This window comes from Homo sapiens, chromosome 8 (assembly GCF_000001405.40).
Source record: "Homo sapiens chromosome 8, GRCh38.p14 Primary Assembly".
NCBI classification, from domain to species: Eukaryota; Metazoa; Chordata; class Mammalia; order Primates; family Hominidae; genus Homo; species Homo sapiens.
In genome coordinates, this window is record NC_000008.11 from 96,368,705 (window position 1) to 96,387,986 (window position 19,282).

General features: G+C 40.8%; 1 long non-coding RNA gene across 2 annotated transcripts, besides 1 other annotated feature; it reads right to left on the reverse strand.

The window, feature by feature from the left end:
- Positions 1-3,221: 3,221 nt before the first annotated feature.
- Positions 3,222-18,734, reverse strand: LOC102724804 (uncharacterized). 2 transcript variants are annotated; one of them, NR_125828.1, is made up of 3 exons: positions 18,400-18,734; positions 17,269-17,346; positions 3,222-3,526 (listed from the first exon to the last, which is right to left on the reverse strand). It is a non-coding gene; the product is annotated as an uncharacterized LOC102724804 (long non-coding RNA). The 2 variants fall into 2 exon arrangements; NR_125829.1 differs by lacking the exon at positions 18,400-18,734 and adding an exon at positions 17,678-17,944.
- Positions 8,030-8,792: an enhancer, noted in NCBI's record as "OCT4-NANOG hESC enhancer chr8:97388962-97389724 (GRCh37/hg19 assembly coordinates)". NCBI's record gives its function as "activates a minimal SCP1, AML or CMV promoter by ChIP-STARR-seq in primed H9 embryonic stem cells {active_cell/tissue: H9 hESC(primed)}" and the evidence as "EXISTENCE:reporter gene assay evidence [ECO:0000049][PMID:30033119]".
- Positions 18,735-19,282: the final 548 nt, after the last annotated feature.

Sequence of the window (19,282 nt, forward strand, 5' to 3'; positions counted from 1 at the left end):
TGTTTCATTGATCTATGTGTCTATCACTCTGTAAATACGACAGCTCTATAATAAATCTTGAAATCAGGTAGATTGATTCCTCCCACTTTATTATTCTTTTACAAAGTTATTTTAGCTATTCTGGTTCCTTTGCATTTTCATATAAATTTTAGAATAATCGTGTCTATATCTACAAAAATCTTGCTGGGATTCTGATAGGAATTGCATTAAACTTCTATGTAAATTGGCAAATAATTGACTTCTTTATTATATTGAATCTTCTAATCCACAAACACACTATGTTTTTCCATTTATTTAGATCTTCTTTGGTTTATTTCATCAATGTTTTGTAGTTTTCTGCCACAAAACATGTACAATTGAAGTCCTGTACATGTTTTGTTAGATTTATACTTGGGTTTTTTTAGCAACTGTAAATGGCATTTATTTTTTATTTTGGTGTCTGTTATGGACACCATATACTACCTTCCCAGCTGGTAGTATTCCAGCATAGCTAGACTTCTCAGGAAAGACTGATGGGGTGAGAGAGAATTAGGAGATCCCTCTTGTGGTGGTCTAAGGTCCATTTTCTAAGATTCCAAATTCCTGTATCAAGTACTATAACTTCCATCTGTTATGGATGCCAAAATAAAATTGACTTTTGTATGTTTGTATTACATCTTGCAACCTTGAGGAACTCACTTATGAGTTCTAGGAGGTTGTTGTTTTGCAGATTTCATGGAATTTTCTACCTAAACAATCATTTCATCTGCAGATAGGGACAGTTTTATTTTTTCCTTTCTCATCTGCATGCTTTTTTTTCTTCTTGTACCTTTTGAAATTGGCCAGAACTACCTGTACTATGTTGAATAAGAGTGGTGAGAGCAGACATTGTTGCCTTGTTCTTGATCTTATGGAGAAAGCATTCAGTCCTTCACCACTAAAAACAATATTAGCTAGAGCCTTTTGGTAGACACTCTTTATCAAGTTGAGGAAGTTTCCCTCTAATCCATTTTTTCTAAGAGTTTTTATCATGAATACATGTTAGATTTTTTAAAATGCTTTTTCTGTATCAGTTGACAAGACCACATGATTTTTCTCCTTTAGCCATTAATATGGAAGATTACATTGAATAATTTTCATATATTGAATCAGACCTTGCATTTCTGGAACAAACCTTCCTTGGGAGAGTGGAGAGGACCATTAGGGAGTGCTTTGCTGGGTTTTTAGCCACCTGGTACAGGATGGTGAGAAGTTCAACCAGGAAAGGTAGGAAAAAATTTTCACGGTGAGGTTAACAAGTACAAGAGCACTGACACATGAAACTGGCTTTCTTTTTCAATGCAAATATTTCAGGATGGCAGGAATGTTGAGCCCAAGAAGGAGAATGGCAGGATATAAGGCTAAGATATAGGAAAGGCAGAGCTCCAAGAGCTTGTATGCCATGCTCTGGACCTTGGCCTTTCACCTCAAGGTGGTGGCAACCACTGTGAGGCTGGATGCAGAGAATAATCCAGTAAAGATTGCCTTTTAGAAACCCAGTGCAAAGGGTAGACTGGAGAACAAATCCTGGAGAGGGGGACCCAACAGGGATACTATAGGAAGAGTTCAGGAAAGAAAAGATAGAGTCTTAAATTACTGAACTTGTTATCTTCCTTCTTCAAATGCTTCTCTTCTGAGCTACTGACTTTCCTCATTCACCCTTCTACCACTCCTACTGAAGGTCATCTTAGACTCTTCTTTTTCATTTCTTCTACATCCAATCAGTAGAGACTATGTCTTCATTCTCCCTGCCCCTTGGCTCTACTTGCTGCCATCAACTCAGAGAGCCTAAAGTATTCATACTCTCCTCACTAGCCTTTACTTCTTACTTCTGTGTTTCTTCCACCTCCAACCCATTCTCCATCTTTGCTCTTGCTTTCATCTTTGAAATTCCCTGTTTCGTTTGTTTGTTTGTTTGTTTTGTTTTTTGGAGACAGTCTCGCTCCATCGCCCAGGCTGGAGTGCAGTGACATGATCTCGGCTCACTGCAACTTCCATCTCCCAGGTACAAGTGATTCCCATGTCTCAGCCACCCAAGTAGCTGGGATTACAGGCACATGCTACCAAGCTTGGCTACTTTTTTGTTGTTGTTGTTGTATTTTTAGTACAGACAGAGTTTAGCTATGTTGCCCAGGCTGGTCTCAAACTCCTGAGCCCAGACAATCTGCCCGCCTGGGTCTCCCAAAGTGCTAGGATTACAGGTGTGAGCCACTGCACCCAGCCGAAATTCCCTGTTTTAACCAAATCACTTCCATTTCTCTACAAAAGCTTCAGGAAGGGTCTGCTTGATCTGATACCAGTGAAACAGACTCCTGGCTGCTTGGGGGCAGGGACTGAGGTCTTAAAAGAATTGCTTTGAGAGGTCTTGGGAGAGATCTTGTGTGAATTGTCATGGGGTGCCCAGTGGAGAGGCAGCCATCTGCAGAGCTTTGTGCCTGAAGAAATACCTCCCCTTTAAACCCTGTTCATTTCTCCTGTGTCCATTCCCTCAAGTGGACTAGCCCAGGATGGGCACACAGAAGCACTCATATGTACTTGCTGAATTGAACTAATTTGAATATTATTGTTTCAGCCAGCTTATCGCTTTATAATTTGTTTATAATCTAATCTGAATTTCTGGGACTTTTCTTCTTACTGAAAAGTCTGCTCCTACGTACTTCAGTGTTAGAAGAGCCTTCCCTCTTCATACTTTGCTATGCTCAGCCTTGCACTTATGGGAGGCAGGAGTTCTGGGTGTTCCTTGGCCACTCAGATCCCCTGGATACTGGGTCTGTGCACCAAGATGATCCCACCAGGCTCTCAGGGCACTTCTTAGTCTGGATTGTGACAGCCTTGGGGTCATGAATTAAACTGCCTTTGTTATTTTTTTGGTGGGGGATGGGGAGGGGCAGGCATAACACTCCCATCTGCCCATCCAGGGACAGAACAATATTTATTTAGTAAATGATTGTTAATATTTGGTTAGATGTGAAATCCTGAGGAAGTAATTTCAAGAACACAAACCAACACCCAGCCCTCAGGTTCCCTGAATCTAGTCGGTCACCACCCCCAGCCCTCACAACGTATCAGAATGCCAAAGACTGAATTCCTTACCTTCCTTCATTCTCTTCCTCTCAGATCTGCTCCCTAAGCCCTCTTTAAGCCCCTTTATGTCACTACACAGCCTGGGCATCCACTCCAAGTACTATCTCTACCCGACTCCTCCCTCTTCTTTCTTCCAGTCCTAGGTTGTTTGTTCACACCTGTCATATCTCCATTTATAACAGCTATTAGGGAATTCCTCTCCAACCCCAGCCCTGTCTGCCTTTGAGGACTATCTGCTCATCTCTCCACCATGACCTCTGGCCTTGGGTCCTCCTGCTTCATGTGTCGGAACAATGGTGGTGGTATCAACAGTAAGAACTGCTTTGAAGAGAGTCTTCAAGGTGGCTTTGGAGTGTTGTGAGGATGTGCTGGACGCTTGGTCAAAGGAGAAGAGAACTTCAAAATGGAGACTGCTAGGAATCACCTGTGGACGGGAATAGAAAAACACAATAGCAGATCACAGATTGCTCTTTGCCAAGGTTTTAGCTTCCATGACCCACTATAAAGAAATCAAACCCTATAAAAAAATCAAACTCCAAGGTTGGCAGTGGAAGAAAAGAGCCTTTATGTGAATAAGGTACCTGGATCTCAGGACCCGACTCTTGGGGGAGTAGCTACCTCTTTAATCTTCCTGCCCAAGCCCTGCCCATAATTCTTCTCTCTGTGCCCAGTCCATCCAGTGAAATCAAGTTGGAGAACAGATACCACTTAACTAGAACACTGGGCTCCCCTGCTGTGTCACCCCAGCATTTCTGTCCACGTTTTGCCACTCAAAGCCCTTACCACCAAGATTAAAAACAGCTGTAATTGGTTTGTCATCCTCAGATTGTATCCGTGTCATTCATCCTCATATTCTAGATCATAGCTCAGTGACTGCCACAGGATAGATGCCCAATAATTGTTTGTTGAATGAATGAATAGATCAACTTTGCTTAAGACTCCAGGATATCAGCAAAGAAAGCAGACCCAAAGAGCTACTTGTAAGTAATCTGGCTTCCAAAATGTAAAGTACTCATCTTGAGCTTGGGTTCCTCTCCAGGGCCTCCCTACCTACCTCCCGGCATATCTCCACATCAATCCCTTTCCAGCTGGTAGTATTCCAGCATAGCTAGACTTCTCAAGACAGATTGATGGGGTGAGAGAAAATTAAGAGATCCTTCTCATGGTGGTCTAAGGTCCATTCTCCAAGATTCCAAATTCCTGTATCAAATACTATAACTTCCTTGGGTGATAAATTCTGGGAATGTCTACCTCATTGTGGGCTTACTCTAGGTCAGAAAGGAAAACAGCTTTCATTTCCTTTGCCAACTTTCATCAGTTTCTCCCTGAAATATTCTATTGAGAATTAGCCAGAAAGAGTAGGTGATCAATTAACACAGTCTGCTATGGATATGGGAGGGAGAAAAGATAGCATTTATGGAGTGTATTGCCTGTGGTCTCAGCAGAACAATCTGTCTTTATACAACAAAAGCGGTCAATATCCACACTTAGAGAGATTATTTCATACTTATCATTTAAGGTTTCAGATGTCTTTTGACAGTCTCCATGCCTTCTACTCTGCTACAGAGACTTGAAGAGGGGGAAATTTTAATAATTTGTATCAGCTTCTGAGGTGATTTCTTTTTTTCTAAATACAACTGAAGCTGAAGGAAACAATTACAACAGGATGGTATTACTTAAGCCCAATTCAACCATTATTATTTTTTTAATTTTATAATTTTATTATGAGCCTTCAATGGAATGCTGTGCTCTTTGTTAAGCATCATCCCCAAGCTTGGCAATGGTGCATGGATAAACCAGGAATAGCCCGGAAGCTCCCTCTCTGCCCTGTGCCACCTGGGTCTAAGACACATCTTCCAATAGGCCCCCAACGGGGTCAGGCTCAGCATCTCCACCAGGACTCTTTCTATTAGAGCTCTTGGTGGGAAACCAAGAAGGGGCAGCTGACCACCAGGTTACTTCCTTTCCAAGAAATTCCTGAGACCACCACTAGGGCAGTGGCTGATGCCAGCTGGGGAAGGCCTGAGTGAGTTTCAGCTGGTTCTGTGTTTGAACCAACATAGGAGTGCTCAGCACCAGGAGACAGAGGGCAATCTGACCCACTTTTCCTCACCAGTGCTGACCCTGGCTGCAGATTGGGAGGGGAAACACCAAATGCCACAAGGAGCTGAAACAAAAGGTGGGGGGATGGCAGGGCAGAGTGGAGGGAGAGAATTATTGACAGGAATAAGATGGGAAAGGTGGCGGAGACAGCATTTGGGTGTTGAAATTACCCTGTGAATTTTTTCTGGTACTTTCCCATAACTCTGAGACTGAACGTGTGCATGTGACATGTCTAAAACTGTGACTTGTTTAAAGCAATTGTTTGAAAACTGTCAGAACCAGGAGCTGATAGAGATAGGCTTCTAACTTAAATATCTAAAGGGAGGATTTCTTCCTAACTTCAAGAATGTGACCAGCTCATCAAAAGCAAGCAAGCAAGCATCAATGCATCACTTTGCTCAGTGTGTCTCAGTTCAGCTTCCTACGCTATCTTCAACTGTTTCTCAGATTTAAGAGTACTTGGTCTTTCTCAGGAGACAGCATATCTTATTTGCAGGTAAAGGACAACACCCCATTTGATAGTAAAAGATTGAATATCTAGAAAGTGTTTGTTTTCCTACTGTTTAAAAATTGTTTTTCCAGAAGATAAACAGATACAAATATCCATGGATGATTTGAGAAGTGCATAGGTGATAAATGGGGAAGAGAAAACCCATTCTGCCTCCTCAGTCATCCACTGATGTCTGAGAAAGAATGATATTACCTTTTTTCCCTCTCTCTTGACCTTCCTGTGCAATAAATACTGATGACAATAGCAGCATATAATATTTACGGTGGCCATGTAATTTACTCTCCAGACTGGGACTCTTTGGAGAGTGAAAGGGAGTGCTAATAATCATTACTCCAGGACAGTAGACTTAAATGCAGGATGGTAGACTTAAATGGAAACATATGGTCATCCTAATAATGGTGGAAATTTACCATGGATTCTGGAGTCATGCCCAGATTTCAATCCCAGCTTCCCACATACTTACCCACCATGTAATTACAGACATGTTACTTCACCTCCAAGACCTCCATTTCATTCACTATAAAGATGTGTGGTCTGTCCTTCAAGTTTATAATATCTTGCAATACTGTTATGAGGATTAAATGAGATAGTTATGTAAAATCACCTAGCATAGCGCAAGGCTGGCATTCCAAATATATTCATATTCTTTGCTTTATAGCAATATGCCAGGATTAGTGAATCAGTTTGTTTATCCATTTCTTCAAGTACCCAAGAGTGAATTGGACAAGCATTTATTAAGACCAGTGGTTCTCAGTGGAAGCAGTACGAGTCCATGGGGATGCTTTGGAAAATTGTGGTGGTGTATGTGGTTGTCACAGTGACTTGTGTATGTGGGGAGGGTACTACTGGCATTTAGCAAGAGGGTGCTGGGGTCGCTAGACATCCTGCAATATCCAGAAAAGTTTTGCACAACGAAGGATTCTTCCTCATCCCTCAGGGCCTACTAGTGCCCCATTTGATGTTCCTGGAGGCCAAAAAAAAAAAAATCTTTATAATTATGTGAGCCTAGAACCCAATTTGATTTTACATATAAATACAAAGCATTTGTTGCAGAGTTCTAATATGCACCAGATTTTCCCATAATGTGTCAGCTGTATAAATTAAAGAAAGACTGTGCTTTGTTCAGAATTTTACTAAGCGTTGTTCACTATTTCAGGAACTCTCATTACTAGTAAAAAAAAAAAAAAAAAGAAATACCACTGTTGGATAGTAATAGTAAAATAGGGAAGGATATGTTAGTCATTAATACAACACGCCACTCTTAAACTGCACTTAAGGCCTTCACATTCACATCATTCTCTTATGAGTGAAAGCATTTGACTCATGTCTTCTAGTGTGACTATCCTAAGGGTATACATAATGAAAATCATATTATTTTATTGTAAATTATTTTCTCTTTTATAACAAGGCATTATATTTGTGGCAGAAACTGCTAGATGCCCACCAAAATCCATGTTCCACTCTCTCTCCTGGTTCCTCAACTAGACTCTATTTCCCATCTACCCTTGCAGGCAGGTGTGGTCATGTGCTTGAGTCCTAGCCAATGGCCCCTGAGCAGAAGTGGCACATGCCACTTCCAGGCCTGGCCCATGGAAACCTCCCAGGTACATGCCTCCATGTCTGTTTCAACTCCCTGCCCATTATTTATCTGCTCAGTCCTATCATGAGAGCTAGAAATAAACGTTTATTGCATTTAAGCTATTAAACATATTAGGGTGCATTTGTTTTAGCAATAAGGGGAACCCAACTAATACAATATGGGCTTTTAAAAAAACTTATTTGTGAATTTCATTTTAAGATAGTAAAAAGGACATTATAAATTATTAGCTATAAAAGGGGTGTTAGGTCTGATAGTGTTGAGAACTGCTGGCCTAGACTATGGAAGGTGCTGTAAGGACTAGACAGAAAAAAAATGTGTGGTCTGTCCTTCAAGTTTATAATATCACATGCACAACTACACAGGCGCACACACATGCAGAGTTCATTAGTTCAAGGCTGTGTATGATAAGAAACAAGTGAGTTGTGTAGACTGGATGGACTCCGAACTTTTCATTTTGCAACCCCATTAGTTAAAAGCATGTTGTGCAAGCACTTTCAATATATATTTCATAGAATTCAAGACACTATCAGTTGTGCATTACATCATCACATTATACAGCATGAAGAAAGAAAAATATCCCTGCCAATCAAATTGTGACATAGGCTTTCGTAGGTATTGATTGTAAAATGTATTCCAATATGAGAGATGTTAAAATGTGAAACAATGTGTGTCTCAGAACTGATAAAAAAAAGATCATATGTTTCTAAATGAATATATTATGTCCTCTTAAAAGCATACGCAAAAATGGGAGTTTGAAAAGGTTGAAATTTTATAAGCAAAAGTTCAATACCTTCCTGTTGCACCCCAAAGGATCAGTGCAGACACCCCACCCTGGAGGCCACAGGCATAGATGGAGGTCCTGTGTGGGCCCAGAAAAGTGAGGGGGCTCTTAGCTGAGTCTGTGTGGCTCTGGGGAAGTGGACGGGCATTCCAGAAGAATCCAGTATTCCAGAATTATCCAGCTTCTGGAATACCAGAAGAATCCACCTCCAGCTTTCACACTATATTTCTTTAGTGCCTTCCTCTCAGCAACCTGTCCTCTCACAAGAAAAATATGTTGGTTACCTCTGTTGGGGGTAATTGCATTTTAATTGGAGTCTTCAGTCCTTTAACTGAAAGGGATTAATCTTCAAAGGAGAAATTGTGACCGTCAGTAGGGGAGCTATCTTGAGCCAGGTACTCGTGACTTCTGTTAGAGCCACCGCACGTCTGACTTGTAAGATCAGCCTTAAGTGGCACCTACCCAAATCTTGTGTTGCTCTTTGTCTATGCTGACGTTAAATACAGTGCCCAGCTGTCATCGGCTTACCCAGTTCAAGTTAGCTCCATTTACATGCCGCTATTTCCCTAAGTTGTTTATCTTTCTCCCAGAGAGTAGCTTCCTCGCCTGGCTACCCTACTTCTGTCATTCGCCCTAACACTGAGGCTGAGAACCACAGTCACTTCTGGCCCCTTGGCTTCACTGTCCCCCAACATCACTCAGATGCTTTCCCTGTTTCTGTGTTTGGGCACTTCTTCTGAAATGCTTGTCCACTTCCCTAGAGCCACACAGACTCAGCTAAGAGCCCCTCACTCTTCTGGGCCCACACAGGACCTCTGTCTATGCCAGTGGCCTCCAGAGTGGGGTGTCTGTAGTGATCCTTTCGGGTGCAACAGGAAGGTATTAAACTTTTGCTTATAAAACTTCAACCTTTTAAAACTCCCATTTTTGTGTATGCTTTTAAGAGGACATAATATATTCATTTAGAAGCATATGATCATTTTTTATCAGTTCTGAGACACACATTGTTTCACATTTTAACATCTCTCATATTGAGATGCATTTTACAATCAATACCTACAGAAAGGCTATGTCACAATTTGGCAGGGATATTTTTCTTACTTCATGCTGTATAACGTAATGATGTAATGCACAATTGATAGTGTCTTGAGTTCTATGAAATATATATTGAAAGTGCTTGCACAACATGTTTTTAACTAACAGGGTTGCAAAATGAAAAGTTTGGAGTCCATCCAGTCTACACAACTCACTTGTTTCTTACCACACACAGCCTTGAATTAATGAACTCTGCGTGCATGTGCCTGTGTAGTTGTGCATGTGATTTTATAGACTAGAAGGATAGACCATGCATTATTCTTTTGTCTAGTCCTTACAGCACCTTCTGTAGTGCTGTAAGGACTGTAAGCACCTTCCATAGCACCTTCCATCTGGGAACCCCAAGAGGAGAAAAGACTGGGCAAACAGGAGAGGTAGGCAGGCACTGGGATTGCTAAAGTGGCTTTTAGGTTCAAAACCTGCATAAAGAGTCTTGAATTGAATTATCCACTGAATTCTCTCCCTCCTCTCTCTTTCCATCTCTCTATTTCCTTCTCTCTCACACACACACACACTCTCTCTCCTTCTCTCTCTCTCTCTAAAAATATCTATATACATACACACACATATGTGAGTGTAGGTGTATGTTTTCTCACAAGGTGATTTTTAGCAAGAGAAAAATTGTAAAAAACTCAGAAATAACCATTTTTAGTATTCCTAAGATTAAAAGTAAGGAAAGAAATCTAAGGGGAAAAGACCAAGAGATCTGAATAGATAATTTTAAAAATCTGTAAAAAAGGGAAAACATCACCAAAATTTAGATTAAAAGGCAAACTGAAAAAAAGTTTGCAGCGAATGCAAAAAAGAGCTTCTATCTTTTCTTTATAAAGAGCTGAAGTAACTCAATAACAAAAATGCAAAGAACTCTAAACGCAAACATGCAAGGATATTTACAGACAATTCATAAAAGAGGCACCATAACTAGTCAATGATCATAAAGCCCATGGGGAAAGGGGCCATGTGTATGTGTCCACCATTAGAGACCTAATACCTGGGTCAGTGCCTGGTTCACCTGTTAAGTAAATACAGTCATGCGCCACCTAACAATGGAAATGCTTTCCTTGGGCAATTTTGTCTTTGTGTGAATATCATAGAGTGTGCATATACAAACCTAGATGGTATTGCCTACTCCACTCCTAGGCTCTATGGTATGGTTTTATCACTCTTAGGCCACAAACTGTACAGCATGTTACTCTACTGAATACTGTAGGCAATTATGACACAATGGTAAGTATTTGTGTATCTGAACATATTCAAACAGAAAACAGTAAAAATACAATATAAAATGTTAAGAATGGCACACCCTGTCCTGTTTAGGTCACTTACCATAAATGGAGCTTGCAGGACTGGAAGTTACTCTGGGTGAGTCAATGAGTGAGTGGTGATTGAATGTGAAAGCTTAGGACACAACCGTACACCTTATAAACACTGTACACGTAGATGGCACTACATTTATAAAAAATATTTTTCTTTCTTCAATACTGAATTAACTTTAGCTTACTGTAACATTTTTACTTTATAAACCTCTTAAATTTTTTAATGTTTTGATTATTTTGTAGATATTTGGCTTAAACACACATTGTACAGCTGTACAAAAATAATTCTTTTTTTTTTTTTTTGAGATGGAGTCTCGCTCTGTGGTCCAGGCTAGAGTCCAGTGGTGCGAGCTCCACTCACTGCAAGCTCCACCTCCCTGGTTCACGTCATTCTCCTGCCTCAGCCTCCCAAGTAGCTGGGACTACAGGTGCCCGCCACTAAGCCCGGCTAATTTTTTGTATTTTTAGTAGAGACGGGGTTTCACCGTGTTAGCCAGAATGGTCTCGATCTCCTAAACTCGTGATCCACCTCACTCGGCCTCCCAAAGTGCTGGGATTACAGGCGTGAGCCACCGCACCTGGCCCAAAAATATTTCTTTTTAATATCCTTATTCTATAAGCTTTTTCTACTTTCACAGTTTTTTATTTTTCACTTTTTAAACATTTTTGTTAAAAACTAAGGCACAATCACACATATTAGCCTAGGCCTACACAATGTCAGGATCATCAGTATCACTGTCTTCTACCTCTCCAGTTTGTCCCACTGGAAGGACTGAAGGGGTAATAACACCCATGGAGCTGTCATCTATGAAAACAATGCCTTCTTCTGGAGCACCTCCTGAAGGACCTGCCTGGGGCTGTTCTTGAGGAGGTGTCACTCTTTTCAGAAAAGAAAAGAATGCTTGGTTTATTTCTTTTTATTCATCATAGATGTGCTTGTAAAGTAGATAATGCATCATGAACACGTCTCTCTACTAATGAAAACCTTTCAGTGTTAGGGTCCATGGTTTCAAACTTTCTGAGTTGTTGAGGTCTACAAAGGCTTCTGCCAAACCCTTGACAGTGAATTTGCTCAGGGTTTTTTCTTTTTCTTCTGCAGTTTCCTTTTCTCTTGACTCTTCTTTAAGCTCTGAGTTTCTGTTCCAGCTCTCACAACTCTGTCAGTTCCTCAGGACTCACATCTAGAGGCTCCTCAATGTCATCCTAATCCACACTGAGGTTAAAGTTGTTTGTTCCCTTATAATCATGTGGGACCACCACCACATATCCAATTCATTATTGCCACATAGCTGTATTTGTTGAATGATTGATTCAATGAATGAATGAATGAATGAATGAATTAAAAAAGTTGACCTTGAGGTAATCAAAGGGATAAATATTAAATATTTTTGCCCATCACTGTAGCAAAGCTTTTTTTTAAAGGAGTAATATGCAATGAGTATAGTAAATGCATGTAGTGAAAAGGACTTTCTCATGCAAATTGATGGGCATGTGAATTGTGAAAAGCAATTGGTCAACAACATGAACTGTGATGTGATAGAAACTTTAACTGCTTACCTCCTTCTGGTGCATGGGTGGACCACGCTTTCTCACCCAATCCCACTGCCTTGAAGGCAGACAGGGTTGTGTAACAAGTTCCGCCTACGGGGTATGAGTGAGTATTTAGGAACCTTCCTGTGAAGATGTAATTGGAGAGGAGGCTTGGTTGAGACGGTGGAACCAAAGCACTGAAAAGTCTGGACTGCTAAGGACAGCAGCTTCAGAGAGTAACCTGAGCCCACAAATGAATTCCCATAACTAAGAAGTAAATTTTTATTTTTCTTAGGTCATTGAGATAATACTGCTGCTTGTTACCACAGCACACCTGGCTCATTCTGATTAACATACTTATTTAATTCTTTTAATGTCTATCAATTGAGTTATGCACCTATTATAAAACAGATCCAGAAATTCCATTTATAAGGAATAAGAGAATACTCCTAAATATGGAAAAATATATTTATACATGAAGATGATCTTTGTAAGGTTATTTTAAAACCAGCATTCCTGTAATAGAATAGTTAGCTGCTAAAGAAAAACATACCACATGTGCTTAGTAGATATTTATAAAGAAGATGTAATAACGTGGGAAAATGTTTATGACTGCCATCCTCACAGACTTTCTATTCATATAGAAAAAGATTGAAGAAAAATCACCAAAAATGTTAAAAATTGGTTTTGTTGGGTAGTGCAAATATAAGCAATTTCTTCTTCTTTCTACAGCTTACAGTTTTCCAAATATTTTAAAATAAATGTATATCAATTTTTATAAAGAAAAACAATGCTGCTCTTTCAATTACTCAAGTTTTAAAATTAATAACAAATAGGTTATTTTATTATCTCATTGGTAAGATTGTTCTTAATCCTGGAAACAGATTTTTCCCTAGTTGCTCCGAAATCCAGGTGGTGGACAATCTTTACATTTTATATTTTTTGCTACTTTTGTTTATATACATGCAGAAAAGGCAAATTTTAAGAAAAGATGTTTGTGAGTTCATCTCATTTAAAAGCACAATAGGTGGCCTATTGATTTTTAAAATAGAGAGGCTCTGACCTTGACCAAGGCCTTCCCGCTCTTTGGAGCCCATTGTCCTTCTCTGATCCATGAGAGATTGAGTCTGGTGATCCCTAAGGCCCTCTTCCAGATCTTCTACTCTGTAATTCCATGTTCAAATGGAGTAAGATGTTCACAATTTGGTATGTCAGAAGTGTAATTAAGTGTAATTCAACCAGGCATTGGAAAACATTTATCTAATTAATCTTTGTGAACAGGTATCTATGGAAACAACTTACATTTGTATTTAAGGGAGGTAATCATTTATGAATTTATCCTTATACAATCATCACAAAGGTAAGTTGTGCCCAGGATAGCTTCTTGCAGTATGTACAACAGGACACAGTTTTACACCAGTTTTAGTAGAATCAAGTAGAAATCACTCTGACAAACTGAGATATCACCAGAGTTTCAGAAACTGGAGAGTCTAGGTTGAAAATATATCATAGGGATCGTGAGAGTCACAGTGCTCAGTAGACACAGTTTTAGAAAAGTTGAGAAAAAGACACTGGAATGATGGAAGACCCAAGTAATCATGGAAAGCAGAAGAAAATGGATTAGATATAGAGAGCACCATTTTTCATTCAACCTGGGTCAGTTTTACCCAATAATTCTGGAATGACCACCTTGTTACCTAACTAGCTGCTCTTCTCTCTGGGCCTGAGCTTCTACACATAGAAAATTAGGGCCCTTGACCAGATAGCATCTAAAATTCCTGCAAGCTCTAATAATATGATTGAGCTAGTGTTTGTTTTTGCTATCATTTGATGTCCTTCAGCACTGATTTATAAGAACAAAATACAAAACTCAGGTTATGTGCAAGGAGACACTTCCATGTCTTGATAATGTCTGATAAGCAGAACTGGTGTCTTCCAGCTCACAGTTCTTTACTTCTCTCTAGCTTTGCTCTTCAGACCTCTCTGGCTGCGTGCAACAGAAGCTCAGCATGACCTGGCTCAAATCAAAAGGAGAAGCCTTGGTTCATATAACCAAGTCTCTGGAAGGGCATAGGTTCAGGTGGCCAAAAGACAATGGATGCAGGGTCTCGAACACTGTCAGGACTCTCCATGCTCTTTGGGTTTCAAGGTTCAAATCAGTTTCATCATGTTAGTGGAGTCATGGATATGGGCAGCTCTGGGCTCTCATTCCTGGGGAAGTTAGCATTCTTCCTTAAGCTCATCTTTGATAATTCACAGGTAAGGACACTGGTGGCACAGCTTAGGTCACAATCCCAACACCTGAGCCAATCATTATGCTCAGAGGTGAGAGATATGATGATTTGCCAACCTGGTCACATGTCCAGTCTTTTTAATCAAGAGGATTTGGGTCATAATGGAATTAATAGAGACGTCCATACTGAGAGGGAAACAGAATAGCAGCTGTATTTGTTTTCTATTGCTGTGTCTCAAATTGCCACAAACTTAGAGGCTTAAAACAATGCTCACCTATTAGTTCACAGTGCCATAGGTCAGAAGGCTGTGCACAGCGTGGCTGTGTTCTCTACTTAGGATCTCACAAGGCTAAAAGTGTTGGCAAGGTTTTCTTTTTTCTCATTAAGAGCTCAGGGTCATCTTCCAAGCTCATGTGGTCATGGCAGCATTCACTTCCTTGAGGTTGTAGGACTGAGGCCCTCATTTCTTTGTTGGCTATCAGCTAGGAGCTGCTCTCAGCTCCTAAAGGCCCTTCATATTCCTCTTCAAATCCAGCTTTGGAGAATCCCCCACCCCGGCTCCAGTGTCAAATTTATTTCACACTTCGAATCTTTGAATCTCTTTCACCAGCAAGAGCCCAGTCCTTTTTAAGGGCTTGGCTGATTAGATCAGCACCTGCCGCTCCCCAGATAATCTTCCCACCTTAAGGTCAGTTGATTTGGCACCTTAACTACTTCCGCAAAATCTCTTCATGGTACCTAGCTTAGAGTTTGATTAAATAACTGGGAGAATGTGTACACCAGGGAAGAGGAGAGTAGGAATACTGGAGATCATCTTAGAATTCTGCCTAACTTGCCATGTGAACTTAGGAAGTTTGAATTTGAGTTTAGTCTGAAGACTAAATCTACCTAAATCTTGAGCAACTAATTCACTTATTAAACTGGTTGCTTGACTCATGTAATCAACATAATTTAATCGAATAAATTTTAAAAAGTCATATGATTTTCTTCACTTTAGGAAGATAGAATATGAATTTAAAATAGAGCTTACTGAGGTAAAAGCATGTTTTAAGCACTTTCTCCATGGTGCTTTTCAGATGAGGAGCTGTTTGATTCCATAAACTCAATTAGGCCCTTCTGTTATACATCCTCATGGAACTCTGTTCTATGACTTTCGAGACACTCCTAATTACTTACTCAACACTATTACCACTATCCTGTATCCTGACAATGCAGAATCTGCATTTCCTGTTCCATGCATCATGCCTGGTACATGGCATAGTGGCTGGCACATACAATAAATATTCACAGAATAAAAGAGGACAAATGCCAGGCCATGCTTTCATCATTTATGTACTCCCTGTGCTTAGGGCAGTACCAGCACATAGTAGATGTTCAGTTGAAGTGGAAGGAAGTCACGAAAGGAGGGAAGAAGAGAGGAAGGCAGAACATAGTGCTAGGCCCCTTTAAAAGAAAGCAGCTAACTCTGCTTCCTGCTGTGTTGACTTGATTGACCTGTACAAACACTTCTTAGCATTTTACTTCCAAGAACAATCGTATAAGGTGATTTAATTATTTCCCAATGGTTGCTGGGACTCTTGAAGCCCATGCAAGACAATGGGCAAAAGGGTCCCCACACCAAAATTGGCATTGGGTATACCCAGAGGGTGTTTATCTGGCTGGGCTCCATGCCACTGGTCGCCCAAGGCTGTTCTCTTTGTTTGTTTTATCTCAAACACAGTCATATGCCCACTTCAGGTCTCTGTACAGGCAAAATGTGTCTGGAGTCAATTACTTAGCAAAGCAAGTACACTCATCCCCAGGCCTGTACTAGACTTTAACCGCAGACAGGCCAAACTCACAGAACCTGTACTGCTTATACAAAAGGAGACCTCTTATTACGTCCAGGGGGAAGTCAATATCACTTATAATATGTTAACTATCTCACTGACCCTGGAGATGATCTGGCTATGGAGAAGGGCTCAAGCAATCAAATATCTCTGAAAACAGACACATAATCTGGGTCCAAAATGTCAGTAATAATGTACAAACAGACCATCTTCTTGGAAGGAAATTTGGGAAATACCTTCCAGGGATGTTGTCCATGACATAGTGTTGGTCTTCCCTGCCAGCCCCTCCCTAACTTCCTCCTTCCCCTACCCTGGCCTCACCCACAACTACAACTCTCACTTCTCTTTTAACCTGTAAGTGGAAGTCTGATGATGATCGCACACACGTCCTCCTTCCTAAGTGCTGCATTATGTCCTGCCTCTTTTTTTGCTCTGATGCATCACTAGTTGCAGGACGAAGCTATTCACAGACCCTGGATCGAGTCCATGGGGAGAGACCATTGGGAAGAACATGATTTTTAAAGCTAGTTTTACCTCAACACTGCTCAATCCCAGACCACTCTTCCCCAGTCACTTGCTTATTGCTATGGGCCGAATGTTTATGTCCTCTGAAAATTAATATGTTGAGGCCCTAACTCCCAATGTAATAGTATCTAGAGGTAAAGCCTTCGGGAGTATTAGGTTTAGATGAGGTCGTGAGGGTGAGAATTCTCATGAGAGAAACAGTGCCCTTATAAGAAGAGGAAAATAGGCCGGGCACGGTGGCTCACGCTTGTAATCCTAGCACTTTGGGAAGCCAAGGTGGGTGGATCACCCGAGGTCAGGAGTTTGAGACCAGCCTGGCCAGCATGGTGAAACCCCGTCTCTAATAAAAATACAAAAATTAGCTGGGCTTGGTGGCAGGTGCCTGTAATCCCAGGCTACTTGGGAGGCTGAGGCAGGAGACTCACTTGAACCGGGAGGCAGAGGTTACAGTGAGCCAAGATCACGCCACCGCACTCCAGCCTGGGCAACAGAGTGAGACTCCGTCTCGAAAAAATAAGTAAATAAAAAATAAAAAGAGGAAAATAGATTCTCTCTCTCTCTCTCTCTCTCTCTCGTCAGTGCACTCACCCAGGAAAAAACCACATGAGGAAACAGCAAGACAGCAAGACAGTGGCCACTTACATGTACAAACCAGGAAGAGGGTCCTCACCAGGAAACGAATCCACTGTCACCTTGACCCTGGACTTCCGGCCTCCAGAACTGTGAGAAATAAATAGTTTTTTAAGCCACCCAGTCTATAGTATTTTGTTACAGCAGCCTGAGCCGACTAAGACACTTATTGCAATTAATTATTTGTATGATGACAGACTTCTTCCTTTCTACTACAGCTCTCTAAGAATTCATCTTATTTGATTTCACCCCTCATGGTGCCTAACTACAGGTACTTATGTGTATAAATGGTTGTTAAATGTTTCTCAAACCTCCGCTTTTGTCCTAAGGAGTTTGGACTTGATCACTTATGCAGTAGGAGCTGCTGGGGGTTTCTGAATGCAAAGTGGTATTAGCTGTGGTTCTCAAGCAAATGACTTACCTTTGGAGCCTCAGGTTTCTGGTAAGAGAAATTAGGTTGCACAAAGGCAGAAAGACGAGAAAGTTTTTTGAACAGCGTAACTTCATTGCGCAAATGTAAAATATCCTTAAGAGCTCACATTTGCCCCTTGCATTCCTCGAAAGGGCAGAGCATCTGCTAAAAGACCAATCTGTGAAGCACTAACTTGACTTCTGCTTATTTAAGCTGGACTAATCTTGTGACTAATTCTATCTCTGTGCTGTGGCTGCCTAAGCAGGGAAAATGTCCAAATGTGAAGGGGTTGAAATCCCTTATTATGGGGAAAATATCCCAGCATGCCTTTCAACTTTACTTTTGGCAAAAGTGAAGAAGATTCCTTTCTAAATAGCAAAAATTCACTTTGCTATACAAGAACTACTGAGGGGGATAAACCCTTGACTTTAAACTTGTCAAATATGTTTCGCAGCTAACAAAGGCTAAACACACACACAGACACGTACACAGACACACACACACATAGTCATGCCTATTGCTGCCATTTTATCCTTAGAATAACTTAATTATAAAGACCACAATACACTAAACACTTCCTACAAAATGTCCTAGCCAGGGACTATGTGATAAAGATTTCCATATATGGGCGTGTGACTAAGGACTGAGAGAAAATATGGCAGAGACTGCTGGCTACAAATCTTGGATAATTCCCTGAGAAGGAAAAGGAAAAAAAAAGAAGCATAACAAACCTGCCGCATGCAGGAAATGCCTGGCTAACATAACGGCCGAGCATATTCGTGTGGGAAAATGCACAGGCTCACAAGCAACAGCTTTCAGGGGAAAGATGTCTTCAAAATACTCTCTCCCCATTTTTACGCTTTCCGATTCCTAAGAGCTTCTGCGGGGACTTCTGAAAACGACCTTGGCACTTTAGGCCAGGACTTTTTGAACAGCCTTTTTCAAGGGCTTAGCTCCATGTTCTTTGCAAACTGCTAAATCCTTCAACCTCTAAATTTTGTTTCAAAGTCATAAATTTCTCTCCAGGCTTCTTGGTTTTCAGAAACCAGCACAGCATGTTTCATCTGTGAACAACTGGAAGAAAGCAATTTTACTGCCAAACTTAAAAAAAAAAACGGCAAGTTTCATTGGCTTTTAATTCTATATAAAGGTACGCCCTGCCTGCCAGATGTGGGTAAGTGCAATAGAATTAAAGTTGTTTAATCCTCAGCATTGCATAGGTTTTCTAGTCTAAAAATATCTCACTAGGCTAAAACGCTGGTCTGTATGAACATAATATAAATTAGAAGAGCTGAATGTAATAGTCCTTGGTTAGCTGAGAAATTTAGCAGCCCAAGCACATTTGGGGTGTTATCTACTTGCAAGTCTACTGGTCCTCACTCCAAGTTCCTTTCTGCTATCTGCAGCCCCTACACACAGTCAGGGACATTGATGTTGTGGGGTCAGGTGGGCCACCTAGATTACAGGACAGTCCTGCCTTTACATAGGTGTGTGTTTTGGGGCAAGTCACTCACCTTCACTGAGCCTCGGGTCCTCCCTGAAAGGTAAGGATAACAGGAAGCCTCTCCCAAAGATGGGTCAAGATGAAATAAGATGACAAGTGTAAACATTTAT